The sequence below is a fragment of the Homo sapiens genome, chromosome 13 (assembly GCF_000001405.40).
Source record: "Homo sapiens chromosome 13, GRCh38.p14 Primary Assembly".
NCBI classification, from domain to species: Eukaryota; Metazoa; Chordata; class Mammalia; order Primates; family Hominidae; genus Homo; species Homo sapiens.
Window position 1 is genome coordinate 26,466,663 of NC_000013.11, and position 13,592 is coordinate 26,480,254.

Below are 13,592 nucleotides of genomic sequence, written 5' to 3' on the forward strand. Positions count from 1 at the left end.
CCCAGCTCGGGCAGTCAGGCAGAAAAGCAGGAGTGATTTCCCCCTTCCTCCACCTTTTCTTTGACTCAGGCGCTCAATGGATTGGGTGACGCCCACTGATATGGTTTGGCTGTGTCCCCACCCAAATCTCATCTTGAATTGTAGCTCCCATAATTCCCACATGGTGTGGGAGGACCCTGGCGGGAGGTGATTGAATCATGGGCGTGGGTTTTTCCTGTGCTGTTCTCATGACAGTGAATAAGTCTCACGAGATCTGATGGTTTTATAAATGGGAGTTCCTCTGCATATGCTGTCTTGCCTGCTGCCATGTAAGACGTCCCTTTGCTCTTCCTTTGCCTCCCACCATGATTGTGAGGCCTCCTTAACCATGTGGAACTGTGAGTCCATTAAATCTCTTTTCTTTATAAATTACCCCATCTCGGGTATGTCTTTTTTAGCAACATGAGAACAGGCTAACACACCCACCCACATTGGAGAGGACAATCTGCTCTACTGAGTCCACCAAGTCAACTGCCAATCCCATCCAGAAACACACTCTTTCACAGACACACAGAAATAATGTTTCACAAGATATCTGTGCATCCCCTGGCCCAGTCAAGTTGATACGTAAAATTAACTATCACACCAGGTAACCAAACTGACTTGGAGGGTGTACCAGAGAAGAGCAAATTGCTCTGACAGCCTGATTCACTTGTCAGTGAGTAATTTTTTTATTTTAACTTTAAAATGTATTTTATTTTTTCCAGATCCATTGACATAAAATTGGCAAATAAAAATTGTATGTTTTTAAGGTGTACAATATGATGATTTCATATGTGTCTACAGTGAGAAATAATTACCGACTGGGCACGATGGTTAACGCCTGTAATCCCATCACTTTGGGAGGCCAAGGCACACAAATCACTTGACGTCAGGAGTTTGAGACCAGAATGACCAACATGATGAAACCCTGTCTCCACTAAAAAATACAAAAAATTAGACAGGCATGGTGGTGGGTCCCTGTAATCCCAGCTACAAGGGAGGCTAAGGCAGGAGAATCACTTGAATCTGGGAGGTGGAGGTTGCTGTAAGCCGAGATCGAGCCACTGTATGCCAGCTTGGGCAGCAGAGTGAGACTCCATCTCAAAAAAATAAATAAATAAATAGACAAATAATTACCACAATCAAATTAATTAACACATTCATCAACTCACAAAGTTACTTCAAAAAAAAAAAAAAGCACACACACACACACAGAAAATCTGTCTCTCTGCTTCCCATCTAGCTCTTACTTGTATTCTACATTGTTGAGGTTACTGAAAAAAAGTGAGTTCTGGATACCATGGGGTGTTGTTTGGGCCCCAAATAGATTATTCTAGTTTTCATGCAGAGAGTGATTGGAGGGAGTCAGGGCCACATCAGTGCAGACTGCAGAAGTGGCCTTCTCATTGCAGCCTATGAAACCACCCTCAGGAGATCAGGGGTATCCCCTGCACAGCCCTGCACAGAGGCCTCGGATGTTCTGAACTCACCACTAAAAAAATGCACACCAATATTGCTCTTGATTATTTCCTGGTGTTCCCATTGTTTCTGGCTGAAGGGCAGTGTGGCTGGCAGGGCAGATGGTGATCACACAGATCCCTGCAGGAGACCCGTGCCTGCTAGGCTTCCTACCCATGGATGTCCACCTTGTGACCATAACCTCACCCCTAGCTGGAATGTGGCTCTCTCACAACATTGCTGGGATGCATCCAGGTTGCTGTGTGAATATTCAGGGGCTGTACTGTCAAAACCAAATCCCTTGGATTGCTGCAAAAATAAACAAGATCTACAGGGACAAGTCCCTGTTTGGATGGCCCCTAAGACAAAGGGACAAAGGGTCTGGAAGAGACGGTGTCCTGTTGTGTGCCTGTTGCCAGGAGAACGTGCCCCTCCCTCATTCAAGGAGGCTCTGCTCACACAGGGAGGTAGGAGAAGGAGTGAAGGGTCTTGGGGAGAGAAGGGCTTTGGAATCAGGAAGACGAGATTCAAATCCAGGCTTCTGATCCAGCAATTGCTCTACTGGGTGTACAGTAGACCCAAAGCAAAGGAAAATCAGTTTGTCAAAAAGCTGTCTGCACTTCCATGCTCATTGCAGCGGCATTCACCACAGCCGTGATAGGAAATCAACCTAAGTGTCCATCTGCAGATGCATGGATAAATAAAAGGTCGTGTATATACACAATGGAATACTATTTAGTTTTTTGTTTTTTTTTTAAGACAGAGTTTTGCTGTCTTAAACAAATAATCTATTTGTTGCCCAGGCTGGAGTGCAATGACACAATCCCAGCTCACTGCAGCCTATGCTTCTTGGGTTCAAGTAATTCTCCTGCCTCAGCCTCCTGAGTAGCTGGGATTACAGGTGTGCACCACCACACCTGGCTAATTTTGCCTTTTTAGTAGAGACGGGGTTTCACCATGTTGGTCAGGCTGGTCTCGAACTCCTGACCTCAAGTGATCCACCTGCCTCAGCCTCCCAAAGTGCTGGGATTACAGGCGTGAGCCACAACGCTCAGCTATTTAGTCTATAAAAAAAAGGAAATCCTGCCATTTGTGACAACATAGATGAACCCGGAGGACATCATGCTAAGAGAAATAAGCCAGGAACAGAAACAAATACCACATAATCTCACTCATATGTGGAATTTTAAAAAGTGGAATTCATAAAATGAGATAGTAGAGCAGTGGTTACCAGAGGCAGTGGGTCAAGGGCTGGAGAGATGTTGGTCAAAGGGTACAATGTTTCAGTTCAACTTTGGAGGAATAAGTTCAAGAGACCTATTGTACAGCACAGTGACTAGAGCTAATAGCAATGTATTGAATCACTGAGAGTAGATTTTGTGTTCTCACAATAAAAAATTAAAATGCATGTTCATTAGCTCTCTTTAGTCATTTCATGATGTATACATATTTCAAAACAACATGTTGTACACACTAAATATATACAATTTTTTACTTGTCAATTAAAAAGATTAAAACAGCAACAACAAATAGAGGCTCGGGCACCCACTAGCCAGCCCATGCCACAGGGCACCATTTTCATCTCTCAGGGTTATCACTGGTATTGGACGAGAGAACATGGTCCAGTGCTGAGCCCCGCAGCTGCCACCTGGCCAGTATCCATGAAATGGTAGCAGCAAATGGCAGAAGGGAAGCCAGCTTTCTGCCAACAGCATTACGCTGTTTGTAAATTTACTGAGTCCTTGCTCACATTTGGTGCCTGGAGCTTGGTAAACACTGGGACTCTACTTCTTTCAAAGGGATTGCTGCTTCCCTGAATGGCTCTTCCCTTGACATTCAGTCCAATTATTGCCTTTTTGGTTTACCTGCAATGATCCCATGTTACACAAGAGCTCAGCCTGGTAAACACCTTTCCTCTTTGTAACTATGGTTTCTTTTGCGTGCTCTTTTCATAAGCCAATGTGGGAGATATTTTTTTAAAGAAACCAAACTCTAGTAATACATAATCATTGTAGAAAAATTAGGTAATATTGATAGGCAACAAACAGAAATAGAATTAAAATAATTCCCAATCTTTCTACCCAGAGACAATCACTGTAACATAGATTCTAGACTTTTCCCTATGTAAAAATATGTGTCATCTATCCTTTTTAAACAAATTTAATTCATATATACGAATGGTTCTATTTATTTTATTTTATTTTTATCTCTTTTTTTTGAACTTTTATTTTAGATTCAGGGGGTACATATGCCAGTTTGTCACCTGGGTATATCATGTGAGGCTGAGGCTTGGGATATAAATGTTCCATCACCCAGGTACTCAGCTTAGTACCCAACAGTTAGCTTTTGAACCCTTGCTCTCCTCCTTCCCTCCCCTAAAAGTAGGTATATATCCAAAAGAAAACACATAGTTCTACCAAAAAGACACGTGTATATGCATGTTCATCACAGTACAACAGCAAAGACATGGAATCAACATAGATGCCCATCAATGGTGGATTGGATAAAGAAAATGTGGTACATATACACCATGGAATACTACCCAGCCACAAAAAAGAAAGAAATCATGTCCTATGCAGCAACATGGAAGCAGTTGGAGGACATTACCCTCAGAGAATTAACCCAGGAACAGAACACCAACTACTGTATGTTTTTACTTTTAAATGGGGGCTAAACACTGGGTACTGCTGGACATAAAGATGGCAACAAATGGCTCTTTAAACTGCTTTTTCAGCTCAAACATGCTAAACATTATTCCAAATAAGTAAAGACAGAATGATCATCCACAGAATCATTTAAAATGGCTGTTTAATATTCTTTTACATAGATATAATACATTTTACCAACTATCTAGGAAGCTAGGATTCTTTTTGCGACCATAAGCAACATTGCGGTGAATAATCTCATGCATGTATGTTTGTGCGCATGCCCCTTGTTTCCTAGGAGCAAACTGCTGGAAGCGGAATTATATGAAGAGTATGTACCTTTTGAAGGCTCTTGATACATATTACCAAATTTTTCCACAAATGTACTGATCTAGGGTCCCTTTAATCTGAGAATCGGCATCATTTCCTTCACACCGAAGTTGGCACTGGTTACAATTCTTTTTATTTTGTTTTCCAACCCACTATATGAAAAAAATACATTCTTATTATTTTCTTCCATGTTTGATTACTAATTAGAGTTTTCATTTTTGGCATTTCTTGGCCATCTTTCTTTTCTTTTCTTTTTCTTTTTTCTTTTCCATTTTTTTGAGACAAGGTCTCACTCTGTTGCCCAGGCTGAAATGCAGTGGCACAATCATGGCTTACTGCAGCCTTGACCTCCTGGGATCAAGTGATCCTCCTGCCTCAGCCTCCCAAGTAGCTGGGACTACAGACATGTGCCATCATGCCTGGCTAATTTTTTACATTTGTAGAGTAAAAAAATTATTTAACTTTTTTTTTTTTTACTTTTTGTTGCCCGGCTGGTCTCAAACTCTTGGCTTCAAGTGATCCTCCCACCTTGGCCTCCCAAAGTGCTGGGATTCCAGGCATAAGTCGCTGTGTCCAGCCTGTATTTCTTATTTTATTAAATGCTTCTTTATTACTACGCTTAGCCGTTTTCCCATTAGGGTATTTCTCATTCTTCATTGATCTGTATGAGCATTCTATATCGTAAGCTCTGCAAACCTCCACCCAGGGAATACTCCCTTGCATGTGGGTGAGAAATCACTGTGTGGATGCTCCGGTGGAGGTGCTGCTGAAGTCAGGTTAACTCAACGGGGCCTTTAAGGAAGAGAGGTCACTCACCCAGTGGAGGGTGGGGCACAGGAGCTCCTGGTGTTTATTGTCCAAGCTGGTATTAACCAAGAGGATTGAGCTTCGGGGGACAGAAGACACGATGTTTGGCCTTGGCCTGATGCTGGGTCCCGATGATGTGAAGTGGGAAGTACTGACCTGAGTCGGCTACGCAGTGGCCCTGGGACCAGTAGCATCAGCACCACTCAGAAACCTGTTCAGCAATGCAGATTCTCAGGCCGCAGCACAGGAAACTTGTGAGCACACTTTTTTTTTATTATCATGGTAAAATATACATAACATGACTAGGCGCAGTGGCTCACGCCTGTAATCCCAGCACTTTGGGAGGCCGAGGCGGGCCGATCACCTGAGGTCAGGAGTTCGAGATCAGCCTGGCCAACATGGTGAAACCCTGTTTCTACTAAAAATACAAAATTAGCCGGGCATGGTGGCGCATTCCTATACTCAGCTACTTGGGAACCTGAGGCATGAGAATCGCTTCAACTTAGGAGGTGGAGGTGGCAGTGAGCCGAGATTGCACCAGCCTGGGCAATAAGAATGAAACTCTGTCTCAAAAAAAAAAAAAAAAAAAAATATATATATATATATATATATACAAGTATATATATACACACATATATTTTTATACGTATATATTTATATACACATGTATACATGCATATGTATATATTTATATACACATGTATACATGCATATGTATATATTTATATACACATGTATACATGCATATGTATATATTTATATACACATGTATACATGCATATGTATATATTTATATACACATGTATACATGCATATGTATATATTTATATACACATGTATACATGCATATGTATATATTTATGTACATATGTATACATGCATATGTATATATATATACATGTATATATGTATATCTCTGTGTATATATATACATGTATATATATCTCTGTGTATATATATACATGTATATATCTATGTGTATATATACATGTATATATATCTATGTGTATATATATACACATGTATATATATATCTATGTGTGTGTGTATATATATATATCTATGTGTGTGTATATATATATATCTTCCTATGTTACCCATTTTTAAGTGTTCAGTTTAGTGGCATTAAGTACATTCACACTGTTGTGCAACCATCACCACCATCATCAATCCACAGAATTCTTTTCGTCCTCCAGACTGAAATTCTGAATCCATGAAACAGCAATCCTCCACTCTCCCTAACCCCTCCAGCTCCTGACCACTGTCATTCTACTTTCTGTTGCTATGGATTTGCCTACTTAATTCCATCATCTAAGCGGAATTGAACAAAAGGTGTCTTTTGCATCTGGTTATTTCACTTAGCACAGTATCTTCAAGGTTAGTGTGTGTCAGAATTTCCTTCCCAGCTACTCAGGAGGCTAAGGTGGAGGATCGCCTGAGCCTTGGAAGTTGAGATTGCAGTGAGCCGTGATCTCACCACTGCACTCCAGCCTGGGTGACAAAGTAAGGCCCTGTCTCACACACATACACAAAAAAAAAGGCAGAAGAAGAAGAAGGAGGAGAAGGAGAAGGAGAAGAAGAAGAAGAAGAAGAAGAAGAAGAAGGAGGAGGAGGAGGAGGAGGAGGAGGAGGAGGAATTATTTCCTATAATATTCCATTGTATGCATATACCACATTTTGTCTTTTTGTTCATCTGTTCATGGCACACACTACAATTTGGCATGCAATGTGCACAGGATTTGTCAGGAATGTGGTTAAAATGCAAATTTTAATCAATTGTTCTGAGATGGAGTCTGAGACTCTACAGGAAACCTCTGGGCCACTTGCCCTGCAAGTCAGGCCAATTCTTCATCATTGCGTCAAATTCCACTCATAAAAATAAGCCACAGTACCAAGGGTTGATTTCAGTAAGCAAGTCCCACAAACTTTCTGGGAAGCTTTAAGAAAATGAAAATGCTCTCTTCTCACTTTTGCAGCTGCTGTACCCTCCTCCTACCTCTGCTGACTGCAGCAGGTCAGAGTGGGTCTGAGGGCCTCTCTGGCACGGCTGGCCTGCCCCACTGGCCCAGTTCCCGACTCCCTGAAGGCTGCTCACCTGCTTCCCCATGCCTCTGGCACTGTTTCTATCTGTCACATATATTCGACTTCTCTTACTCGAAATGAGCACCCTGAGGCTAAAAGCCTGTATTCTGCATTCATTCATTCAACAAATATTTATTGAGTGTGACTGTGTGTGAAGCACTGTTCTTTCTAGGCACAGGGGATACAGCAGAGAACAAAAGAGGCAAAAATCCCTGCCTTTGTGAGCTTTCGTGCTGGTGGAGACATCGATCATATGATAAATGAGCAAATATTAGCTAGAGATACATTTAAGCACGAAGAATAAAGCAGGGAGACAGCAAGGAATTTGGGTGATGCTGATACTTTACAGTGGTAAGCCAGGGCCGGCTTCACTGAGGAGGTGACAGTAGGGCGAAGACAAGAGGGAAGGGAGGCAGCCAGCTTTGCAGGAATCCGGAGGCTCACTCCAGCTGGAGAGAACGGCACAGGCAGAGGTCCTGAGACAGCGGGCTGCCTGGGCATGCAAGGCATAGCAAGGAGGCAGCGTGTGGCAGATGGAGTGAGAGAGACAGAGAAGGGAAGAGGAAGACAAAAAGGCAGCAGGGTGGGTCAAGAAGGATGCTTAGACCAGCAGTGTCCAGTGGAAAAAGAATGGGAGGTTGGGCGCGGTAGCTCACGCCGGTAATCCCAGCACTTTGGGAGGCTGAGGTGGGCAGACTGCCTGAGCTCAGGAGTTCGAGATCAGCCTGGGCAACATGGTGAAACCCCATCCTTACTAAAATACAAAAAAATTAGCTGGGTGTGGTGGTAGGCGCCTGAAGTCCAAGCTACTCAGGAGGCTGAGGCAGGAGAATGGCTTTAACCCAGGAGGCGGAGGTTGCAGTGAGCCAAAATCGCACCATTGTACTCCAGCCTGGGCAACAGAGCAAGACTCTGTGAAAAAAAAAAAAAAAAATAGAATGGGAGCCACATGAGTCATTTTCAATTTTCTAGTAGCTGTACTAAAAAAAAAACCCAAACAAGGAAACAATGTGTTTTACTTGACCCAATGTATCTACAATATTATTATTTCAACATGTAGTTGATAATAAAAACTAATGGATGAGCTTTTTTGCATTCTTCTTTCTTTTGTGTTAAGTCTTCAAAACCCAGTGTGTATTTGACACTCACAGCACATCTCGGTTTTGACCAGCCACATTTCAAATGCTCAATAACCATATGTGACCAGTGGCTCCGGGAGTGGGCAGCAGAGCCTAGACCGCATGAAGACCTTGGCTTTCCCTCTGAGGATGTTTTAGAATGTAGGTTTTATTATTATTCAGGTATGGCAAGGCCAACAGATCAGGAGCGGACTGCCATTGAAAAGTGAGCTGGGAGCGCTCCACACCGTAGGGGCCCCCTGGGGAAGCAAGGGGGGGAGGGAGTGGAGGGAAACATGGGCGGGAGCGTTGATTCTGATTTTCATGGGAAAGAACAGGCAAGGCAGGGTAAGCAGGTTTAGGATTGGCTGGTCTGAGTAATTTCTGCAGGCCCTGGGCATGGGACAGTCCCTACTTGTCTGGTACCTGGCCCTGGGGTGATTAGGGCAAGGGGCCAGGGGCCAGGAGCATAGTGGTGTAGCGGGGTGTGAGCTCTGGCTTAATTGCTTTGCATATGAAAGGTGCTTGCACTCAGTCATTTGCTCTCTCTAGGACCTGGCTAAATGGGGAGAGGCAGCCTCTCTAAGGTCAGCAGAGCCTCAAGAGCCTCAAGAGGCCAAAGCATCAGAAACCCATGGTTAATGGAGAGGGTTCAGGAGCTGCAGGGCTGGGCTTAGGAGGGCTGGGCTCAGGAGGGCTGGGCTCAGGAAGGCCGTGATCCCGCTGCTGTGTCTGCCGGGCTCTGGCTTCTCCTGGAAGAGAGGTGGGATGGGGCAAGGGGGCAAGGATGGGAACAAGGCTGTGGCCACACCCCAGGGAGGGGGCAGGGCTTGGGTGAGGCTGAGGCTTCGGGGGTGGAAGGAGGTGGTCCCTGCTAGACAGACTGGCAGACAAAGCAACTACGGCTGATTCCTCACGTAAGCACCTGGATGCTGAACTGAATGACAGCAGGCGCTGACTTTAGAGGAAGAGTGGGATAGCACATTTGCTGAAATACTTAGGTATCCAATAGAATTCCAGGGGCGTTTAGACAGTGAAGTAATGCTGAGAGAGACAGAGCTATTCTCCATTGGCTGCTCACCACATTGACCGGTCCTTCTGCCAGGCCTGGTTAGGTCACTGTATTTCCTGTGCAGGAGCACTGGGTCACCGCGTCCCTGCTGACCTCGGCAGGGTCAGAAGCGGGGTCCGCAGGGCGGCGGTCAGGGGCGGGGACTGTCCTCAGGGTAGGTTAGAACCTAGGGAGGGCAGCGGGCAGGCTGGGCTGAGCCCTCTTCCGTCACACAGGAAGCTGCAGGGCTTTCCTGCGGCATTCATGCTTTTTTATTCAAAGTCAGAGCTAGGGAGCTATTTGTCACTCTGCTTCCGGAGGCAACTTTATTCAGAAATCAACCGCTGCCTGGCTCCAGGGCCAGTGTCAGGAGCCAGCGGGGGTTTGTTCTGGCCAACAGCCCTCTCCTCCATCAGAGTCATCCCCACATCCAGGCGGGAGTTGCTAGAATTATCTGTTCCTGTTTCCTTCAGAGTCTGCACAGAATGCTTTGGATTCCCGAGATCTGGCTTCCTCTGTGTGTTGTCACTGACTCCAGCCCAGCTGCTCGCAGCACGGCCTGGGGAGACAATTCCCCTTTGCATTCAAAGACCAGGTAAAACAAGCCATCCATAGAGCTCACCAAGGCATGAAGTTAAACAGAAGTACGGAGTCAAGTAGAAACCACCACTTTCTGAGAATGCAGGTGGTACGGGATGGGGACACTTCACTGGCTGATCTGTTAGTGCCTGTGCCAGAAATCACAGGCTTCAGGGAGGGGCCCCTCAGAGAAGCCCCTTGGGAAGTTATACTCTCATTCCAAAGCTTTTCCCACACTCAGAGCACACTTGGAACTCCCTTCTCTTGGCAAAGGCCTTTAGAGTCCATTTAAGCTACATCGGAAACCCCATGTCATTTTTTAGAAAAAATTTTTTTATGTATAATCTACTAGATTTGACCCTGAATTTTTTTTTCTATTTTCTAAGCCCATTAAAACACACACACACACTCACACACACACTCACCCACACTCTCACACACTCACTCACACACACACACTCACACACTCACACACACACAGACACTCGACCCATGATGGCATGAAAGCAATGACTCCAAGGCCATTCATCCTGAAATGAGGGCATCATTCCCATTGGATATGTAATCTTTTATTGAAAGATTATTCCATACTTATATATAGAAAAGTGCACCAGCCGTAAGTGTACAGGTTGAAGAATATTTAGGAACTGAACACCCTGGTGCACACAGCACCCGGATGGAGACACAGAACAATAGTAATGCCTGGATGCCCTCACGGATTACCCTGGATCACTCACCTTCAAGTATGTGTGAAGTCTTTAGCCCACACCATCCAGAATAATCACCACTCTGACCAAGGTTGGGAAAGGTTGAGGAGCCTGGGGTGCACAGTGTAAGGAGGCCTCCCCTCTCAAGGTCAAGCACGTCTAGCCCCTTACATTTTGTTCTAGGTGCTTCACAGGCCTCACCCATAACTGACTTCTAGCAGCACAAAACAGTTCTGCCTGTTTTTGAGCTCCGTATAAATGGAATCTTCCAACATGCACTTTTTTGGGTCTGACATCTTTTGCTCAACATTATGGCTGAGATTCATGTTTTTGCTTGGAGTTGTAGTTTCTTCAGTCTTGTTGCTGTACAGCAGGTTCTCAAACTTTAGCCCGCATCAAAGTCACCTGCAGGGCTGGCTAAAACACAAGATTGCTGGCCCCACCCCCAGAGTTTCTGACCCAGGAGGTCTGAGATAAAATTCCAGAGTATGCTAACAGATTGTCCTGCGATACTGATGCCGCACTTTATTATTTATTTATTTATTTATTTATTTGAGATAGAGTCTCACTCTGTCGCCCAGGCTGGAGTGCAGCAGCACAATCTCAGCTCACTGCACGCTCCGCCTCCTGGGTTCACGCCATTCTCCTGCCTCAGCCTCCCAAGTAGCTGGGACTACAGGCACCCGCCACCATGCCCAGCTAATTTTTTTGTATTTTTAGTAGCGATGGGGTTTCACTATGTTAGCCAGGATGGTCTTGATCTCCTGACCTCGTGATCTGCCCGCCTCAGCCTCCCAAAGTGCTGGGATGACAGGAGTGAGCCACTGCGCCTGGCCCGCACTTTATTTTTTAAGACAGGGTCTCGCTCTGTTGCTCAGGTTGGAGTGTAGTGGTGCAATCATGATTCATTGCAGTCTTGACCTCCCAGACTCAAACAATCCTCCCACCTCAGCCTCCTGAGGAGCTGGGACTATCGGTGTGTACCACCACTCCAGGCTAATTTTTGTATTATTTGTAGAGACGGGGTTTCACCATGTTGCCTAGGCTGGCTGATGCCACACTTTTGAGAACCATAGATGAATAGTATTCCATTGTGAGAATATCCCACCTTTTACTGGCTTATTCAAATCTTGATGGACAAATAGGTTTCCAGGTTTGGACAATTACAAATCGTGCATCTCCAAACAATTTTGCACATGTCTTTTGGTGCACAGTGCATGCACTTAAGATAGGAGTGGAACTGCTAAGTCGTAGAATATGCATACAATCGGCTGTAGGTAAACATGCCAACAAGTTTTCCAAAGTGGTTGTATCAACTTACTAGGTTGGCGCAAAAGTAATTGCTCTTTTTGCCACTCATTTTAATACATTCCCATCAGCAATTTATGAGGCTTCCTATTGCTCCATATCCTTGCCAGCACTTATTGTCCATGATTTTTATTTAGACATCCTGGTGAGTGAGTACTAGTATCTCATAATGGCTTTAATCTTTAATTTGCTTTTCCCTCTTCATGGGTCTCCAGAGCTCATCACAGGTCCCCATTGAGCTGTGGACTTCAGCTTCATGTCACAAAAGTCCTCTGTGATGATGATGATGGCGGTGACCTGCTCCACAAAGCCCCCTGGGACCATAGCACCCGTCCCAAGATGACCAACTGGGTCAGAGGCAGCCACAGGCTTTCCTTCTCAGGCAAGGGTCCCTCCTTTCAAGGAAACATCTCTGTGCTCATCATTACGTTCCCCACCTGGATGTCCAAAATCCTGAATGCCACGGCTGGATTATACAGCAATGTCAATCTCTTAAAATTGGATTCAGGGCCTGGTGCGGTGGCTCACGCCTGTAATCCAAGCACGTTGGGAGTCTGAGGCAGGCGGATCACGAGGTCAGGAGATTGAGACCATCCTGGACAACATGGTGAAACCACGTCTCTACTAAAAATACAAAAATTAGCTGGGCATGGTGGTGGGCGCCTGTAATCTCAGCTACTCAGGAGGCTGAGGCAGGAGAATCACTTGAACCAGGGAGTCAGACGTTGCAGTGAGCCGAGATGGCATCACTGCACTCCAGCCTGGTGACAGAGCGAGACCCTGTCTCAAAAAAAAAAAATGGATTCAGGGCCAATCTCATTCTGAGGATTGTGTTTCCCACACTGTAAACCTGCCTGCTGGTCTACCATGCCGGAGTGGTGTAGTGCCAGGCCCCAGGGACAATACGACCCACACAGGCTCCCATGAGCAAGTGGTGCTGTGGGCTTGTGTTCAGAGTGGGGGAGGGAAGTGTCAGGGGCCAAAAGTTGACCACAAGTAGCCAGAAGAGTTCACAGACACACGCAGAAGCTAGCAAGGAAGTGTTGAGGGGCATCATCATAGAAGAGGCTTGGGACCAGGCCAGCAAGGCAGGTACCGGGACATGTAGCTTCAAACATTCTCCTAGAATGCGCTTGCTTTGCATACCTAAGAAACTTTTTCTAGCCAGTTGTGTGATCTTCACTATAGAAGTCTTGGCCCAGTTCTGACACAATAAGCATCACTCTTCTAAGGGCTAATACAGTTAATTAAAGCACACGCGTGCACACGCACACACACACCTGCACACACAAACCCGCACACACACACCCACAGACCCACATCCACGCACGCACATCCACACACACACACACACACACTCCTTTCTGGCCAAAGTGGTAGATAAAGAAATGGCCTAGACTGGGCACCCTGAATATATGTCCATTGCAGATAATTTTGAATTTTCCGTATGAATGAAGCGATCAGAGATGTGAAACAGAACACTCAC

At 45.2% G+C, this 13,592-nt stretch overlaps 1 annotated feature.

The window, feature by feature from the left end:
• Positions 9,550-9,844: an enhancer, noted in NCBI's record as "tiled region #712; HepG2 Activating DNase unmatched - State 4:PromP". NCBI's record gives its function as "activates a minimal TATA promoter and a strong SV40 promoter by Sharpr-MPRA in HepG2 cells {active_cell/tissue: HepG2}" and the evidence as "EXISTENCE:reporter gene assay evidence [ECO:0000049][PMID:27701403]".